At 38.4% G+C, this 21,060-nt stretch overlaps 1 pseudogene; it reads right to left on the bottom strand.

Moving 5' to 3' along the window:
- On the bottom strand, window positions 4,925-5,423 carry HLFP1 (HLF pseudogene 1; annotated as a pseudogene).

Below are 21,060 nucleotides of genomic sequence, written 5' to 3'. Positions count from 1 at the left end.
TCTTTACTGGATTCTTTGAAGAAACCAAGATTTTTTTCCTAATAATCTGTTTTATACACAATATATACCAAAAATATATAAATATATAAGTATATAACAAAAGTGAAAGAAACTGACTCTTAATCACAATGTTCTGAATAGCAAGAGGAATACTAAAAAAGTCAACTAGAAAGTCATGTCAACGTCAAAATCTGTTCTGAAACACATCACTTTGATTTTATACTGAAAGCCGATACCTCGAATTTCCTCTGCTTCGCTGTCCTGTGGTTGTACTGGGCATGTTCCAAATGTATCACTTTTATTTTTATTTCAATAATTTCAAGTGTTATTTTAGATTCAGGAGGCCCATGTGCAGGTTTGTTACATGGGTATATTCAGTAATGCTGAGGTTTGGGGTACAAATGATCCTGTCACCCAGGTGATAAGCATAATACCCAAAAGGTAGTTTTCAGCCCTTTCCCCCTCCCTGTTTCCCAGCTGTAGTAGCCGCTAGTGTCTGTTGTTACCATCTTTATATCTATGTGTACCAAATGTTTAGCTTCCATTTAAAAGTGAGAATATGCAGTATTTGGTTTTCTGTTCCTGCCTTAACTTGCTTAGGATAATGGCCTCCAGCTGCATCCATGTTGCTGCAAAAGACATGATTTTGTTCTTTTTTATGGCTCTGTGGTATTCTATGGTGTATATGTACCATATGTTCTTTATCTAACCCATCACTGATGGGCAACTGTGTTGATTCCATGTCTTTGCTATTGTGAATAGTGCTATCATGAACATACGAGCGCATGTGTCTTTTAACAATTTCTTCTCCTTTGGGTATATACTTAGTAATGGGATTGCTGGGTCAAATGGTAGTTCTGTTTTGAGTTCTTTGAGAAATCTCCAAACTGCTTTCCACAGTGGCTGAACTAATTTACATTCCCACACCAACAGTACAGTGTTCCCTTTTCTCCACAGCCCCACCAGCAGCTGTTATTTTTGACTTTTTAAATAATAGCTATTCTGACTGGTATGAGATTGTATCTCATTGTGGTTTTGATTTGCATTTCTCTGATAATGAGTGATGTTGAGCATTTATTCATATCTTTCTTGGCTGCTTGGATGTCTTCTTTTGAGAAGTATCTGTTCATGTCCTTTGCCCAGTTTTAATGGAGTTTTTTTTTCTTGTTGATTCAAGTTCCTTATACATCCTGGATATAAGCCTTTATTAGACCTTTGGTCAGATGCAGTTTGCAAGTGTTGTTTCCCATTCTGTAGGTTGTCTGTTTACTCTGTTGATAGTTTCTTTTGCTGTGCAAAAGCTCATTAGTTTAATTAGGTTCCACTTGTCAGTTTTCTTTTTTGTCGCAATTGCTTTTGAGGTCTTAGCCATAAATTCTTTCCTAAGGCTGATGCCTAGAATGGCATTTCCTACATTTTCATCTAGATTCTTGTAGTTCCCAGGTCTTATGTTTAAATCTTTAATCCATCTTATCAAAACAATCTACAGATTAGCACTATTCCTACCAAACTACCAAAGTCATTTTTCACAGAATTAGAAAAATTATTTTAAAATTCATATGAACCAGAAAAGAATCCCAAGAGCCAAAGCAATCATAAGCAAAAAACAAAACAAACAAACAAATAAACAAAAACAAAGGCAGCGGCATCACATTATCCAACTTCAAACTACAGTAAGTCCACAGTAACCAAAACATCATGGTACTGATACAAAAACAGACACACAGACCAATGGAACAGAATAGAGAACTCAGAAATAAAGCTTCACACTGATATAGTTTGTATATTTGTCCCCACCCAAATCTCATGTTGAATTGTAATACCCGATGCTGGAGGTGGGGGTCTGGTGGGAGGCATCTGGGTCATGGGGATGCGGCTTTCACAGCTTGGTGCTGCTTGGCAATAATGAGTTCTCACAAGATGTGGTCATTTAAAAGTGTGTGACAGTCCCCCTACTCTCCCTCGCTCCTGCTTTTGCCATGTGAAGCACCTGCTCTTTCTTCGTCTTCTGCCATGAGTAAAAGCTTCCTGAGGCCTCCCCAGAAGCAGATGCTGGCACTGTGCTTCCTGCACAGTCTGCAGAACCATGAGCCAATAAAACCTCTTTTCATATAAATTACCCAGTCTCTGGCATTTCTTTATAGTAATGCAAGAACAGTGTAATACACACACCTACAACCATATGATTTTTTACCAAGTAGACAAAAATAAGCAATAGGGAAAGGACTCTCCATTCAGTAAATGGTGCTGGGATAACTGGCTAGCCATATGCAGAAGAATGAAACTGGACCCCTACCTTTCACCATAATTTTGGTTTTTGAAAAGAGAGTAAAATTCTTAGATGAGGAGAGTATCCTACACTTACAATAATACTTAGGCAGCATGCTCTAGTGTGCAATGGAATTATTGTTTTAAGTACAGAAAATGCAAAAACAAATCTATGTTCTAATAATATTCTTACCTATTTGGGGTTCATGTAATTTAAATGAAACCTAGTAGATAAAAATGCTATGTAAATATGGGACCTAGTAAATCTAAATATCTGTAGCACTTCAAATATGATGATAATGATAAACCAATCTTAAAATATGAGGAAAGCACCTATAAATTAATAGTGCTGCATTATAGTGCTGTTACTGTGTATACCATTTTTATCATGGCAACTTGTAGATTAAACATAAACAAAAGCTTGTACCCTTCAAAATTGAGATCTATTTTTTCTTCTTTTTTTTTTTTTTTTTTTTTTTTTTTGAGACGGAGTCTCGCTCTGTCTCCGAGGCTGGAGTGCAATGGCATGGTCTTGGCTCACTGCAACCTCCACCTCCTGGGTTCAAGTGAGACTCCTGCCTCAGCCTCTCGAGTAGCTGGGACTACAGGCATGTGCCACTACACCTGGCTAATTTTTTGTATTTTTAGTAGAGACGGGGTTTCACCATGCTGGCCAGGATGGTCTCGATCTCCTGACCTTGTGATCCGCGTGCCTCGGCCTCCCAAAGTGTTGGGATTACAGGAGTGAGCCACCGTGCCCAGCAGAGATCTACTATTTATCCAGAGTTCTTAGTGAACCCAAGGAGAAGGTCATGGAAAAGTAACAAGATCTAACGTGAAACAATGATGAGAGGGAAGGAGTAAAGAAAAGGGGAGGGGAGGAGAACTAATGAGAGTTCTCCAAAATACAATAAAAACCTGGCACTTTCAAAAACTGAATATGAAGTTTCTTAAATTGGCAAGGCAGAGTAACGTGCACACACAGATGTACATGTACTGATGGCCACACACACAGGCCAAAGCATATTTGGGGACCCACATTTGGACACAGTTGCAGACTAAAACGTGAGTCAGCTGTGTTTCTACTTCTAGAAAAGTGCTATGACAGAGGCCGGGCGCAGTGGCTCAAGCCTGTAATCCCAACACTTTGGGAGGCTGAGGCGGGCGGATCACGAGGTCAGGAAATCGAGACCATCCTGGCTAACACGGTGAAACCCCGTCTCTACTAAAAATATAAAAAAATTAGCCGGGCGTGGTGGCGGGCGCCTGTAGTCCCATCTACTCGAGAGGCTGAGGCAGGAGAATGGCGTGAACCCGGGAGGCGGAGGGAGCCTCCGTCTAAAAAAAAAAAAAAAAAGTTTGTTTGGGTGTGGTGCTATTGACACAGGAAACAGACCATATATTCCTTCAAAAGCCAGCCTTCAAAAATGCCCTCTTACAGGGAAAAGCAACTGGCTTGTGGTAGAGGGCTGACTTCCGCTTAACAGTGATGTCCAGGTGATAATCTCATTCTCCTCCAGCCTCCAGGCGTCTCAGGAGTATCTGTCTGTTACACTGTTTTTTTCTATTCATAGCTCAGTACAGTTGACACTTGAGCAATGCAGGTTGGAACTGCACACATCCACTTATATGTAGATTTTTTCAATAAATATATTGAAAAATATTTTGGAGATTTGTGACAATTTGAAAAATCCTGCGGACAAACCACATAGCTTAGAAATATTGAAAAAATTAAGAAAAAGATAAGTAATGAATGCATACAATATATGTAGAAACTAATTTATCATTGATTGCCATAAAACATATGCAACTCTATTATATAAAGTCAAAATTTATCATAATACACATGCACTTACAGACCACACATAATCCCATTTGCAATGAAGACAAATGTAAACATATGTAAAGATGCAGTATTAAATCATTACCACATAAAATTTATTGTAGTATTACATATTGTACTACTGTAATAACTTTATTGCCCCTTCCTGTTGCTACTGTGGTGAACTCAAGTGTTGCAAGACTCTGCTTCATGCCCTGTGGCACTAATCATCTTTGCATGAGCAGTTCCTCTTCAGCAAATTGGGGATTGCAGCAAAAAGTGATTTTGGGGTTCTTGTGTATTTTTCATTGTGTTTAGTGCAATACCACAAACCTTGAATAACACCATGGGACCCACAGGAAGTGCCACTAGTGATGGTGGAAATGCTTCCAAGAAGCAGAGAAAAGTCACATTACAAGAAAAAGTTGAATTGCCTGATATGGACCATAGATTGTGGTCTACAGCTGCAGGTGCCCCTATTTCAGACAGATAATTGTATTTTCTATTTTCTATGGGTTTCTTAATACCATTTTTAAAACTTTATTGTAAGAATACAGCAAATAATACATAATACATATACAATATGTGTTAATCACTTATGTTATTGGTAAGGCTTCTGGTCAACAGTAGGCTATTCGTAGTTAAATCTGGGAGGAGTCAAAAATTACATTTGGATTTTTCACCGTATGGCAGATGGGCACCCCTAACACCCACATTATTCAAGAGTCAACTGTATTTGTCAAATATCCATAGCCAGGCATGAAGATTTTAGAGCTTTCCTAATCCTGGACTGTGGTTTCAATTTAAACTTAGAGAATTTGGGCTTACTAGAGTCATTCATTTTGGGGGCACAGATGCTAGAGAGAGGAAGATTTCTCTGCTCTGGCTCGTACCCCACTAAAACTTCAATAATTGCAGGATCAACAGGACACTGTGTTTGGTGGTTTGCAGACAAGAGTACACTGGACTGATGACGCTCTCTTGCAGTTCTGAGACAGGACACTGGGATGAGTGGAGCCCAGGTGCTAGGATCAGGATAGAAGGGCCAGCCGAGCAGCTGATGGGAGCTCAGGAATGTGGTCTATGATCATGATAACACAATGCTAACTGTCATGGGGAATGGTTTTGTCCCAGAAGGTGGGACCAGAGAATGCTCAGTGGGGTACTGTTAGACTGACTGTCTTCATCCAGCTTTTGGTCCTTTTCTTTTTTCTTTACTAAATTCATCTTTGTGATGACAGGAGAGCTTCAAAGCATTATCCAACAGAGACTTAGGGAGCCAGCAGAGGCGAGGGAAAGAAGATAATGTGGGCATCAGCTCAGGACATTTTCTCCATCTCAATTCACTCTTTTTTGTTTATTTCTCTTAAAAAATGCCAAACCTCCCCAAAAATTGCTGTGGTGTTTTCATCCTTCTTTTGCTGAAAGTTTTCACTTTCAAGTTAATGGAGAAAACAAGGGAGAGGAAAAGTCTCTTATATCTCTACAAATACATCTGTATAAAAATTTAAAAAAATAAAAACAACACAGAACTTTGAGGTTCCTAGAGCACTCAGTCCTTGGAGAGGGTTCCAGTTGCCGGAGTCTGCTGGTGTAGTGAAGGATGCTCTCACTGGCCCTAAACCCCCGGTCCTGCAAAATATTCAACATTGCAAAAAGGAAAGAAAAAGACCAAACAATTGTGAAGTACAAAAATGCCCCCACAGTATTCCATGACCCCTTCACCCTAACATTCTGGAGGCAAAGCATGCTCCACCTTTCACACCTTCCAAAGGATGGCTGCTCTTTTCCCACGCTGGACCAGCCCCTCAGCACCTTGCTCAGTGCATTCTACCACACATGTGTAGTGGCCCTAACAGGAGTTATTGTGTTTGTTTCAAATATATTTGAAGTGTGTTTTAGTGTCGCTGAGGTATAATAATAATACGCACTTTTCAAGTACCTACGAAAACTAGGAACTTTCTCACACAGAACAATCCTGTTAAGCAAGCATTATTTATTTCATTTTAAAAGGATAATGATTGATACATATACACAATATAATACTATGCACCCATAAAAAAGAACAAAATCATGTCCTATGCAGTAGCATGGAAGGAGCTGGAGGCCATTATCCTAAGCGAATAGGAACAGAAAACCAAACACCACATGTTCTCACTTATAAGTAGGATCTAAACATCGGTTACTCATGGACATAAAGATGAGAACCATAGACACTAGGGATTACTGGAGGGAAGAGAAGGGAGGGGGCAAGGGTTGAAGAACTAACTATTGGGTACTACGCTCACCACTGGGGTGATGGGATTGTTTGTACCGGAAACCTCAGCATCACACAATATACCCTGTGTCACAACCCTCCACATGTACCCTCTGAATCTAAAAAAAAAATGTTGCAACTGTTTACAAAATAATAAAAACTAAAGGATGACATTCAGACTTAGAGAGGTAAGGGATTATGGTCCCCTACTTATAACATTTTGACTTACAAATTTTCAACTTACGATGATGCAAAAGCCATACACATTTAGTAGAAAGTGTACTTCGAATTTTGAACTTTGATATTTTCTTGGGCTAGCGATATGTGGTATGATATTCTCTCATGATGCCGGACAGTGGCAGCGAGCCAAGCCGCAGCTCTCAGTCAGCCACGTGATCACAACAGTAAACCACTGATACCATACTCCACAGTGTATTCAGTACACTACATGAGAAATTCAACACTTTATTATAGGCTTTGTGTTAGTTTATCTTTCCCAACTGTAGGGTAGTGTTAAGTGTTCTGAGCATATTTATGGTAGGCTAGGCTAAGCTCTCATGTTTGGTAGGTTATGTGTATTAAATACTTTTTTGACTTAATAATATCTTCAATTTATTATGGGTTTATTGGAACATAGTCCAATAAACTGTTATATAGGCATCTGTAATATATTCAAGGTTAGCCAATAAGTTGTTGAGCTGGAATAAAAGGCCTAGTTCCTTCTACCTCAAATATACATCCCCTTTAGACCGGGCACAGTGGCTCACATCTGCAATCCCAGCACTTTGGGAGGCCCAGGCGGGATCGCTTGAGCCGAGGAGTTGGAGACCAGCCTGGGCAACATGGCGTGACCCCCTCTCTACAAAAAAACAAAAACAAAAGATTAGCTTGACATGGTGGCATGGACATGGCTCTGTAGTCCTAGTCCCAGCTACTCAGGAGGCTGAGGTGAGCAGATCACTTGAGCCTGGGAGACCGAGGTTGCACTGAGCCAAGTTTGCACCACTGCACTTAAGCCTGGATGCAGAGTGAGATCCCATCTCAAAACAAACAAGAATGTATATCCCTTTTGACCATGCCATACTTTCTCTTTAAAATTGTATTAATCAGCATAGGCTAGGTTGTGATGTAGTAAAAAATAACGCCAAAAATTTTATGGCTTAATACAACAAAAGCTTATTTCCTGCTTACGCAGAGTCCTCTCCAGGGCAGCTAGCCTCTATGCCCACAGGACCACAGGCTTTTTTCATTTTGTGTCACCTCCTTGTCAACCTGTGCTTCCGTAATTTCTGGAGCATGAGAAAAGAATATGGGGGAATTGCACATGCCTCTTAAATGCTTTCATCCAGAGTGATGCATGTCATTTTCAGTCATATTTTATCGGCTAAAGCAGGTCATATGGCCATGCCAAATTTAAATGAAGTAGGAAGTGTAATCCCCTGCATGTCCGCCATGACACATCAGGGCTGATGTTATCATTCTTTTATTCTCCAACATATAATATCATTACACTACTTGTCTTCTGGTCTATTACTTTGTTGTCAGCCCTATTACCTGTTAATTGCAAGCCAATACCACCTGTTCCTTCAAGGGTAAGGCTGACATAAGGTCTATACATTCCCTATCCTTTCCATGGATCTGAAGGCAATTTTACCTTTATCCTCTTGTCCAGAGAATGGAAAGGCATTATTAACATTTTGTATGTAATGCTTTATAGTTTACAAGATATTTTAAACATGAGTTTTACATATTTCACAAGGTAGGCACATTTTTCTCCATTCTACATTAGAGAGCAGAGTGTCACGTTCAAAGTTCCTAACTTATGTGTATCAAATCCTTAAACCAGAATCATTCAACTTCATGCTTACTGCTTTCTCTACCACTTTATGTTGCTAGTATTTTCTTACTAGCAACTACCTGAATGCTACCCTGTGCTTCTTTAAGAACTCAATGTTCTTATGTGCTTGACTTAAATGTCAAGCCCGTTTAAGTTTTGGATATTGATTTGTTGCTTAACAATTATTAAAGCCAAATTTATATTGCATCCTTACCTTTCTAAGAGAGATATGCCACATTCCTCAAAGTCAATCTTGTAGCTTTAATAGCACAGACCTTGATACAATGCAGTGTGAGGGTTAAGGTGAAAGTACACAATTAATATTTAAACTTATATATGTGGAACAATGATCATAATTAATCATATCTGTTGATGTGGTGTGGAGAATAAGAATTTTTCTTGGGACATTAGGAGAAGACTGGCAACATAAAGAAAGAGAATTTTTCTGGCTTGGAAAATAAATTTAAAGGGATCAATGAAAATACGTTAACAGAAGAGTGAGCTCTTTTAATCTTGCTATTTTGAAATTAGTTCTGTTTGGTGGTCCAGCTATAGAAATACAGCAAAGGTGCTTATCAGCATGAAAAGCTATTTAATCATCCACACTTTCTGGAAACTTTGGACTCCTGGCAAAGCAAATAGGGCCCAGGTGTCACTATGGTAGTAGATTATCTGATAAATAGTTAATATTTGGACAAGATGCATTCTAGACATGTTGACTGGATAAACTTTGGAGATATTAAAAATATTAGAATTAGAAATTCTGTTTTATTAGATTATGATGTTGATTAAATGAAACTGGTTTTGAACCAGTTGACTTTTTTTCTTCCTGTTTTTGGTAAAATTTTGTTTTGCTCCATTAAATAGAACTAACAGAGGGTTTGTTATCTCAATATGAGTAAAAATTAATTGAAAAGCCTGCTGTCATGTGTACCTAGCTAGTACTGGAAAACTAGTTGTTGTGGAGATCAATTACAAAAGCACTGTGGTAAGAAAATAAAATCTGATAGCCTGACAATAACTTCCTAAAATACACACCTGTAATTTAATTTTACTGGAAATAAATATGTGAAAGTTATCTTCAGAAACTGCTGATAAAATGTTATACTATTTTTATAGATTAAGACAATTACAAACACCATTTTGAAAATGATTTGAAATTAATGTTACTGTGTTGTTTCATCTGCCTAGCATTTAATTAATAATAGTCTACCCATTCATTCATAGACAGGTGTTAAGTAAAGTTCTCATTCATGTAGTAGCCTCATGTAGTTTCCCTCTCCAGGTATTTTAAGGATCTGTGGGAGAAATCAGCTAAAGAGATGGGAAACTCTTTAATTTAAATTAATTTTTTTTTTTTTTTTTGAGACAGGTTCTGACTCTGTCACCCAGGCTGGAGTGCAGTGGTATGAACACGACTCACTGCAGCCTCGACCTTTTGGGCTCAAGTGATCCTCCCACCTTAGCCTCCCAACTAACTGGGACTATAGGCATACACCACCACACACAGCTAATTTTTGTATTTTTTTGTAGAGATAGGGTTTCACCATGTTGCCTAGGCTGGTCTCAAACTCCTGGGCTCCAGCGATCCACTGGACTTGGCCTCCCAAAGTGAAGGGATTACAAGTGTAAGCCACTGCACCTAGCCTAATTTAATTTTTATTTGCAAATTCTTGGTAGTGGTTAGGAGCTAGAACCCGATTCAGACAAATCTGGGATCAAATTCCACAGCTGCTTCTTAGTAGCAACTGATTTAATTTTCAGTTCCTCTTTTTTTTTTTTTTTTTTTTGGTAAAGTAATGGTTAAAAACAACGTCTATTATTTAGAGGTGCTATGAGAATAAACGTGGGATTTCATGTAATTCCCTCAGCCTAGAGACTAGTACAGGGTTAGTCAAAGCTCTTCCTCCTCCCCTTCCTTCCTTCTTTTTCTCCTTCTCTTCCTCTTCCTCATTCTCTTTCCATGTTTCCTCTCCCTCCTCCTCCTCTCCTTTTCCCCTCCTCTTCCTTCCTCCCCTCTTCCTTCTCTTCCTTTTGCTTATTCTTCTTCTTTGTTACTTGTTACTTTCTTATTACTGACAATTGCCAAGCTTAGGCTGCACCTGCACACCCAGTATGTTCAGGCTCTGCCGTCAAGAGTTCCCAAGATGCACAACAAGGGTCTGAATAACACATGGTGGGAAATCCGCTATTGTAAATTGTTCTAGTTTCTCCCAAGCAATGGTAAAGGTTGTTTCATGCTGGGTCACTCCTTTCTAGAGGAGGAAGGATAAAAATCCACGTCTTACAAAAATTTGTAGAAGGCTGCCCTCTATAGGTACATGTAAATATAATATCTGGGTAAGAGATTCAAAGTTCAATTAGAAATTAGCATTCAAGGTGTAGTTTCTTAGGGATGGTTCAGAATGAGAAAATACTCTTCCTGAAATGTATAAGTTGAGTGGCTTGTTGACATGCTCCTCCATTTCTGGTGGCCAACGAATGGATATATAGACAATCCTCTAACGCTCCACTCTGCAATAATTCAGAGTAGGTGGTATCACGATGAGTTTATTTATCAGTCATCTTGTTTTCTGAAAGGAGTTTTGGGAGATGAATGAGACCTGCTAACAATTGGTCTGTCCTCAGGGCTCTGAACTGAACACAATTTTTGGAGGACCACTTTGCTTTTTAACCTCCATATTATTATTAGCTTCCTTAACTATTATTTACTGAGCTTCTACTGAGTTCCAGGGGCTGTGATAAACCTTTTATACAGAAATATTCCAAATATACTAAGATATTTTTATGTAAATGCTCTTGATGTGCTAAGATATTTAGATAGACGTGCCCCGTTATAATATTTTATCTAAAATGTAGGGATCTACATGAAGTTCTCTACACAGTGAACCAATTCAGTTGCTGTTTGATTCCTAACCCAGAAATGGCTTCATATCTTTTGCAATGTTAGTAGAAGACATTATTGTCATGTTCTGTATTTATACACTCTCTAGTTATCATAATAATTATTAATGCTGAACTGCATTGTAGCTTAATCTTTAAGGAAATATATTATTTACTACCCTTTGTAGTCAGGAATAGAGTGATATAAAGTTGTCTTACATAGGGAATCTATTTCAGTTCTGGTTCTCAATACTTTAAGTTCAGAAAATCATTTCTCTAAATTCCATCAGATATGATCAGACTATTGGAAACTGAGCCATTTTTTTTTTTCAGGCAGAGTCTTGCTCTGTCACCCAGACTGGAATGTAGTGGTGAGATCTCGGCTCACTGCAACCTCCGCCTCCCATGTTCAAACGACTCTCCCTGCCTCAGCCTCCTGAGTAGCTGGGACTACAGGCATGCACCACCACACCCAGCTAATTTTTGTATTTTCAGTAGAGACCGGGTTTCACCATGTTGGCCAGGATGGTCTTGATCTCTTGACCCCGTGATCTGCCCGCCTCGGCCTCCCAAAGTGCTGGGATTACAGGAGTGAGACTGAGCCACTTTTAACAGAACTCACCAAAGATGATTTCTAAACCAGAATGAGTCTAGTCATTTACACACATGGGAGAAATAAAATAGCAGCACAAGGAGATAGAACTTTGGAGATAGGCCTGTGTATAATCACCAAATTCCTTAGCTTCCTTGAGCATCAGTCTCTTTAACAAAAATGGGATTAATGTTTCCAGACTCTTGGTATTGGCAAGAGGATTAAATTTGAAAATGCAATACAGGACCAGATATCCAGTAAGCACTCCGTAAGTGATTGATTGCTTACTACTAAGCCAGTCGGATATACTTATTTCAGAACAGCAGTACCTTCATGATATAAAACTGCTTGGGAAACCTAATATTACTTATAAATTACTTGCTAAAAATTATTTTAAAATCAGAGTAAAGGGAATTTATCTGCTTACAGAATACTTTTTAGAAAGCCATGATAGTTCTGTTGGATCATCTTTATACACAATAGGAATAGAACTGCACAACTGACCATATCCCACGTCCCATGCCAGGAAGCACTCAGTTCTGGACAAAGCCAGGTCTATGCCAATGTGATTTCAGGGGATTTAAGCCACATTGTTTGTATCAAGACCTTTCTCCTGCCAGCCCCAAATTCCACATGTGGAGACATTTCTTTATGTATGGAAGACCTTATGATTTGCCTGTGTACTTTTAATGGTGAACATCTCTAGCCATGGTCATATTCATTTTGCTGCTGAAAAGTTGGGGCCCCTGACAACTGTATTCCTGAAAAGATGGACTCTCAAATGAAAAGAAGAGAGCATCTGAAGAAAGGGGAGGTGGAAGGAGGTCAGACAAAATCTTCACTAACTTTACTGTAAAAAATTGAGGGATGAACAGGAAAGAGGAAGGACCCTCATAACAGAATTCTGAAGCCTGAAACACTTCTGGAACAGTTTCCAAGAAATAACCAATTACATCCCGGGTAAGCTTATAAAGAAGTTTATATACAGTGTTTTGTGGAGATAAGACTGTTTTCTTTTTATGCCAGCAGAAAATAGCTAAGCTTAAATGTAAGCATCTAATGCAATTGTAAAGACTGATATCCTTTTCCTTATTTTTGCCTCAGTCAACTGATTTTTTTAATATTGCAAATTATATTTTTACTTTAGTTATCTTTTGTATTTTTAGTGGAATGGACAGAAGAATCTTACCAGGAAAATGGCTTTGAATTCCCATCTTCTTGCTTTGATTAATGGTAGGAAGTTCTCATAGTATCTCTTCTATAGTCTATATCAGGGGTCAGTAAACTATTTGTTGTACATAATGTTTTTTTGGAACACAACTGCACTCACTCATTTACTATTGACTATGACTTCGTTCATATTACAATGGCAAAGTTGAGTAGCTGCCACAGATCTGTGGCCTACAAAGCTTAAGATATTTATTTTCTAGAAATTGCTGATTCTTAGTTTGTGTAATAAACAAAACCCCTATAAATATAAAAGTAAACATTTTACTCCTTGGTTATGCATTTCACAATTTATCATCACCTGAAAGGATTTGATTTTTTAATAGTGCTGGCTGATTTTGCTACTTTTCTTCTATTATGATGGAAAACAGTCAATATTTGTGCCAGTTACACACCGGCCTGTGCACCTGCTTTCAGTACCTCTTTAACAGTCAGAGCATTTTAAGTACACCTTAGTTGATATTCAGTCCCCGTAATGGAACCAACCTCTTCACTTATAGGGCACCAAACTCCTTAATCTCCTGAGACTGATTCAAAAATAAAAAGTGCACCAAGCTCCCAAACTCTTCTTCTTATATTAATACTTTGTTACCCATAAACTCTGTTGTCATAAGCTAACTTGAGCTAAAATATCTGTTAATATTAGTGGGTGTAGTCCTCAGAGAATTTCTTCTTCATTTATTGCTTTACATTGAAGACACTGTGGGAAGTGTGAAATAAAGGATACAGCTGCAATCAATTATTATAATAAAGCACAACAGGGGATATGATACCTGCATTTTAAAAGAAAACTTCCAGAAAAAATACCTTAATCCAAAGAAGCTGTTCTAAAGAGGTAACTTTGGGTACACTTGCCTATTATTGGGCAAGATGAGTTAGGGTAGATAACTTAGGTTCATGGGGTATTCAAGTTATATCACATGATCTCTCTAAATGTTTAATTGTGGTATAGTTGTATTGAAGTGATATGTAGAGGCGTGAGGACTGCAGTATATTTAGTCTGTGGGAAAAACTGAAGAGATTGATCACAAATAAGCTGGGAGGAAGGTAATCTAAAAAAGAGTCCCTGCAGCATGACTTTGCAAAATGGGCCTTACGAAGTGGAATGCTGCGGAACAAGAAGGGCAAGACAAAGTCATCTGAATTTGATTGCAGGTCAAAATTAGAATGTCAACCCTTTGACCTGGAAGGTAGAAACTTGGTCTTGTTCATGGTATTCAAAACACTGAGCACTGCGTCTGCCATCTAGGAATAGAAGATACTTCTTTGATAATTCCTGAATGGATGAATAAGTGAATGAATGAAATAATAGATGGATGGAATAGAAGAGATAAAAGAAACAGAGGAGATTATCTATGCGAATCTACTAACTTTACAGGTAAAGATTCTAAGGCCCAGATATATCTTCTAATGAGAGGTAATATTTTGAGCAAACACAGTGAGCATTGAAGCGAATAAAAATTCCAAGGTCCAAGTAAAGTTAACATCATCAAATATCAGTTCCATTCACAAAACCATTAATACAGCTAATATTGCACATAAGTATATGCAAGAAAATGTTTGTAGTACATCATTATGAGGTATATAAAAATACATTCCTAAGAAATAAAAATGATTAACTGTATTACAAGGCCATATGAAAAAGAAAGATAAAGTTCTAAGGAAGTGAAAGCATGAGAGAAACTGATTTTAATTGTAAGGTGAAAGTAACAAGTGAATTGAGTTTTGAAGGATGGGTAGAGTTGGATACATTGGTGTTATGGGTTGAATAGTGTCCCCCAAATTTCATACATTGAAGTTTTAACCCCCAGTACCTCAAAATGTGATTGTATTGGAAGATGGGACCTTTAAAGAGGTGATTAAGTTAAAATAAGACTGCTAGGGTGGGTCTTAATGCAATCGCACTGGAGTCAGAAGAAGAGAAAATTTGGATACACAAAAAACACCAAAAATGTGTAAGACCATGTGAAATCACAGTGAGAATGCAGCCATGTGTTAGCCAAGGAGAGAGGCCTCAGGAGAAACCAAACCTGGTGACACCATGATCTTGGACTTCCAGCCTCCAGAACTATGAGAAAATAAATTTCTGTTATTTAAGCCATTCTGTGTTATTTTATTATGGCAGCCCCAGAAAACTAATACAGTTGGGAAGAGGAGGAAGAGCAAGAAAGGGAAGGGTTTCTCTTCCTTTTAAGGCTTGTAGCCTCCTGTATTTCTTGTAAAATCACTTCTTCCATCACCCTGAACCCATGCTCCATCAAATACATCTTATTTGATCTTCACTCTTTCTTTCCTTCTGGTTCATCCTGCTGTCTGACAAACCCTTTCACATTTATTCTAATCAAACTTAACAAATGCTTCTGTTGGGAAAATATAATTTAAAACAAAATCTCCTTCCAACCCAGAAAACCATTCCACAAAGGTAGAAGAGAAAGAAAACATTTTTATTATGTGATGCACATCATAGGCAATCCACTAAGATATTGTGAAGACAAAAAGACACCTCATTCTTTTATATAGGCAAGCAGATGCAATCCATTCCAGATATTGTGATGATTAATTTTGTGTGTCAACTTGATTGGGCCATGGGGTGCCCAGATATTTGGTTAAACATTATTCTGTGTATTTCTGTAAGGGTGTTTTGGGGTAAGATTAGCACTTAAATTGTAATGCAGATTGTCTTCCTAGTATGAGTGGGCCTCATCCATTCAGCTGAAAGTCTGAATAGAGCAAAAAGGTTGACCCTCCCCTAAGTAAGAGAGAATTCCTCCTGAGTGACTGGCTTTGAACTAGGACATTGGCTTTTTCTTACCTTCAGACTCAAACTGAGACATTGGCTATTCATGGGTCTCAGGCCTGCTAGTCTTAGGACTGGAACTACATCATCAACTCTAATGGGTTTCCACCTTGCCGACTCACCCTGAACATCCTGGAACTTGCCAGCCTCCATAATGCATGAGCCAATTCCTTTTAATAGAACTCTTTCTTTTATTTCTCACAGTTCTGGAGTGTGGGAAAACCAAGATCAAGGTGTTGGTATATTTGGTATCTGGTAAGGGCCTGCTTTCTGGTTCATAGGTGGTGCTTTCTCTCTGTGTCCTCACATGGTAGAAGGGGAGAACTCTATTCTCTCTAGCTCTTTATAAGGGAACTAATTCCATTCATAGGGGCTCCATCTTCATAACTTAATCACTCCCAAAGGTTTTAATTAGTTCCACCTCCTAATACATCCCATTAGGAATTAGGTTTGAACAAATGAATTTTGAGGGGCACAAACATTTAGACCATAGAAACATCCTATTTGTTCCATTTCTCCAGAGAACCCTGATGAATACACACATTTTCTTCAAATATACTATAACTAGTGCTTATGTAAGAGGACTTGACAGCACCATTTGTTACACATAATTCATCCTAAACCCACATGGTAGTTGGGGTAACCATCTGTGTTAGCTAATTGGTTTTAACCAAGGTAAAAATCAACTACTCTTTATGACTAGAGGGAGTTTTGCAACTTGGAGCAAGTAGTAAGCTGAGGCTAGTTTCCTGCCATCCCACAGAATCTGGGAGACAGGGTGCTATCTTCCTTAATGTTTACATTTCTAAGAGATGGTTCCCAGTCCTTGAGAAAGACATTCCTGGATCATAATGCTGACCGGAGGCTGAGTTAGCATTAAAAAATTTACCTACATTTTAAAGAGACAGAGAAAGACCTTAAAGCACAAGTTTTCTAATATAAAGACTCTTTGAAAAAGGGAAAGCAGGGAAAATCTCTTTTCTTATATTCTACAGGGAAAATGAAACCTCTTGTTTTTAATTTGTATTTGCTCTACATTTCCCTGTACTTCCCATTCCTTCAAAATATTATTCCATTTCTCACCTTCTTTTCATTGTCATATGTCTCAAAAAATTTATTTACCCTGGCTACCTTTATTTTCTTAACATACAATATCTTCTCTATGGTCCACAATACTCCACTAACATTGCTTCCAAACCATTAATGACACCTTTTTAAATCCTTGACCATATGCTTGATCTCTATCCTTACTCTAACACTCAGTAACATTTTACACCATAACTTTATTAAAATTCTTCTTCCCCTCTTGGCTTTATTGGTCTCTTTTTTATCATCCCAATATCTGGAAGTACTTTACTTATATATTGACATTTCTTACAGTTCTGTCTTCCTCCCTCTTTCTTTCCCCTTCTGGGATTTCTCTTATCTTCTGCCACAGACAACTTTAACTATTACCACTAGGTGAATGCCTTCTGAATCAATACTGCAAGCTCTGAGATTTCTCCTTTGTGCTAGAGATGTGAGTATTCAGCTAATCTGGTAGAAATCTGTCAGTCAACCAACTAGTAGTTAGGGATCACCTGCTATATGCTAGGCCCTGGGGTTATAGCAGTGAACAAAGCATACAAAGTCTCTGTCTTCAGGCAGGTGCGGTGGCTCATGCCTGTAATCTCAGCACTTTGGGAAGCCGAGGCAGGTATATCCCTTAATCCCAGGAGTTCAAGACCAGCCTGGGTAACATGGCAAAACCTCTCCTCTACAAAAAAAAAAAAAAAAAGGAAAGAAAGAAAAAGAAAACACAAAAACTAGCTGGGTGTGGGTGTGGTGGTGCATGCCTTTAGTCCCAGCTACTCAGGGGGTTGAGGTGGGAGAATCCCGGGAGGTTAAGACTACAGTGAGCCATGATTGCACCACTGCACTCCAGCCTGGGCAACAGAGGGAGACCCTGTCTCAAAAAAGAAACAACAGAAACCAAATCTCTGCCTTCATGGAGTTCACAATATCTACAGGAATGTCCTATTCAATCGTCAAAGCAGTAGACAGTAGGCATGCATGTCCGAGGATGTAGATCATGCCGTCACTAAGACCCATTTGGTGATGGAGCTGATAATTAGCTTGAAATTCAGTGGGTTCAGAGAATGGGAATTAAGATATTTTTAGGTTTTATTATTTTTTTTAGGGGTATGTGTGTGTGTGTGTGCTTAACAGAAACGAAAAAGCAGCTTTATTTCGAATGCCCACAGTAAACATTCAAGACAGTTTTGTTGACAAAAAAAGATGCTGAAATAAGAATAACATTTAAAAACAGGATTGTTACTAACTAAAGGACTTTAATTGTCCACTATGAAATTAGTTTATTAAGATTAAACAAGAGCTTTTGTGTGTATTTTCCTATTCTAAATTTAGGTGGTTTGTGAAGTCTCCGAGGATTGTCTTTGCAGATTCAGCTTATATGCGGCCTCATGCATGAAGCCTGTCCTGGCTGCCCTGAGGGGTTTCCAAATCCTTCTTCTGCTCTCTCATAACACAGCCTTTATATTTCCATTTAGCAATCCCTCTATTGTGCAACAAATATTTATTTGTATGTCGATCTCACTATTAACTCTACATTCCTAGAAGAAAAAATCATTATCCAATTAAATAAGTTTTCCAGTTAAAAGAAAGAGCAGGAGATGAAGAGAAGATTTACTGCCCGTGCAGTTTTGTAATTAGCACAGTGAAACTAAGAGAATTCCATATCAATGTAATCCTTTGATTTAAAGGCTTTTAAAAATGAATAATTAATTTATCCAGTAATTCAATGTTACTCAGTAAGCCAATATTTATTAAGCATCTACGGTTTGTCAAGCACTGTTTTTTTTTTTAATTTTTTTAATTTTATTTTTTTATTTTTAGACGCAGTCTGGCTCTGTCACCCAGGCTGGAGTGCGGTGGCTCGATCTCAGCTCACTGCAAGCTCCACCTCCCGGGTTCACGCCATTCTCCTGCCTCAGCCTCCCGAGTAGCTGGGAGTACAGGCGCCCGCCTACCATGCCCGGCTAATTTTTTGTATTTTTAGTAGAGATGGGGTTTCACTGTGTTAGCCAAGATGGTCTTGATCTCCTGACCTCGTGATCTGCCCGCCTCGGCTTCCCAAAATGCTGGGATTACAGGCGTGAGCCACAGGGCCCGGCCTGTCAAGCACTGTTTTAAGCCATGGCGAGAGACTAATGAACAAAGCAGACAAGAGCCTTGATTTCCTAGAGCTTAATAAACTCTTATACATGAGGTATTGTGCTTGCCTGCAAAGAAGACTGATTCCTGGTAAGACAGGAATATGTATGATTCAGGCAACATTAAACTCATTTTGAGAAAAATGAATGACATTTTCTATGTACTATTAACAAGAACTGAACTTGGATATTATTTCTTGAACCAGCCTTTAATATCTGGAGACTTCTGAAGCAGCAGTTACATTCACTTAGTAAAGGGTAATTTCACTGTAAGCCCTTTTGCTTGTTCTATCACTGCTTTTAATAATGGCTATTTAGGTCACAGCTGACCCATTATGGGGTGCAGTGTTTCACTAGCGATCCCAAGGCAGGAGAATGGGGCAGCAGATCTCCATGGCTTCCTTCAGAAATACAATTGACACAGTTAATATTGCTTTGATCATGCTGTGTAACAAATGACACCAAAACTCGATAGCTTAAAATAATAGCAACTTATGCTCATGAAGGTCTGCAGGTGCTGCAGGTCTTCATGCCCCTGACTGTTCCACATGTCTCTCATCTTCCTTGGACAAGTGGCTGAGCCGGGTATGTTGTATTCCTGGTGATAGGATAAAGGACATTCATCAACATGTCCTCCCAAAGACTAGGTTTGGAACTGGAACATTTTTATCTCTGTTCACATTCTTTTGGCCAAGACATGTCAAATGGCAAAGTTCAAATTCAAAGGGCAAAAAATGTATTTTCTACCCCCAATGAAGGGAAGACAAAGGATGTGAGGAGGGTGAAGAACCGAGCCTGATAATCAATGTGTCATAATGATGCTTTAATCCCATGCAGAGTAACAGATAGTAATGGAAGAGAAACAGCCCTTGTCCAGCTCTTCGTTTTGCCATATTGGAGGATCTGGTTCCATGTAGAGAGGGTCATTTTGGAAGTTTTATATATAAACACTTTTTCTTTTTTATATTTAATTTTTGATTTACTTACGTTTCCCTATCTTTATTCTTTGCTTTATTCTTATATATCTTCGTTTTTTTCTCTTTTCTGTTTTAAAATAATTTTCATTTAATCAACTTTTATTGTATTCAAAAGTCTAAGTGTAAAAACTGATAAAATAGGATAGGCACAGTGGCTCACGCCTGTAATCCCAGCACTTTGGGAGGCCTAGGTGGGTGGATCACCTGAGATCCGGAGTTCGAGACCAGCCTGGTCAACATGGTGAAACCCCATCTCTACTAACAAAACACAAAAATTAGCTAGGTGTGGTGGCAGGCGCCTGTAATCCCAGCTACTTGGGTAGCTGAGGCAGGAGAATCGCTTGAACCAGGGAGGTGGAGGTTGCAGTGAGCTGAGATTGCACCATTGCACTCCAGCTTGGGCGACAAGAGTGAAACTCCATCTCAAAAACAAACAAACAAACAAACGAAAACTGATGGGATAAATGTGTGTGACCATATAACATTTAAGATGGTGTTTTTCTATTGTGGTTAATAACATTACCGGGTTGTAATTTCCAGTAATTAAAAGAAGAAATAGAATAAAATAGGAAATATCAGACTGACTTAAACAAAGTAAGGGTATTTTTTAATGAAAACTTTTACATTTGTTATGGGTGCCTACCTACATATGTACTGAACAAGAATATAAAATGTATTTCTTCCTATAGTTGTGGTTCAAAAGTAGTTTGAAAGCCATTGCTTTAAAGTATTTTCTAACTATAATATGTTATTGGGTTTGAGTACATTCTATTTTTTAAAAATATTCATTTGTTGGGTACAGGTCATCTCTTTTGAAAGCAAGTTGTTTTTTAAATGCTAGTTATTTTCTTTGTACAGGTGTGTAATAGAGAAGTACTTTTCTTTCAAATCAATCAGCAATTAAGTCAGTTTTAATGGACATGTGTTTTCATTTATGTGCTGTTAATGCATCGCTGTGGTTCCTGGTGGCCCACGCTTGGAATTATTTTTAAAGTAGTTGTAATATTTACCTTCTCTATTTAGCTTGCTCACTGCTAGCTTCCTGATGCTGGTTCAGAATAAAAGCTCCTCCCAGTTATATTTCTTGATAACATATTGTTAGCTTGTTTCAGAAAGATTTATTATCAGCTTTTGTTTTGGATTTTAATATTTGCGTCATTCTGTCTATGTGAACTGTGGCCTATCATA

The sequence above is a fragment of the Homo sapiens genome, chromosome 6 (assembly GCF_000001405.40).
Source record: "Homo sapiens chromosome 6, GRCh38.p14 Primary Assembly".
Taxonomy (NCBI): domain Eukaryota; kingdom Metazoa; phylum Chordata; class Mammalia; order Primates; family Hominidae; genus Homo; species Homo sapiens.
This window is presented reverse-complemented; position numbering and strand designations above follow the sequence as displayed.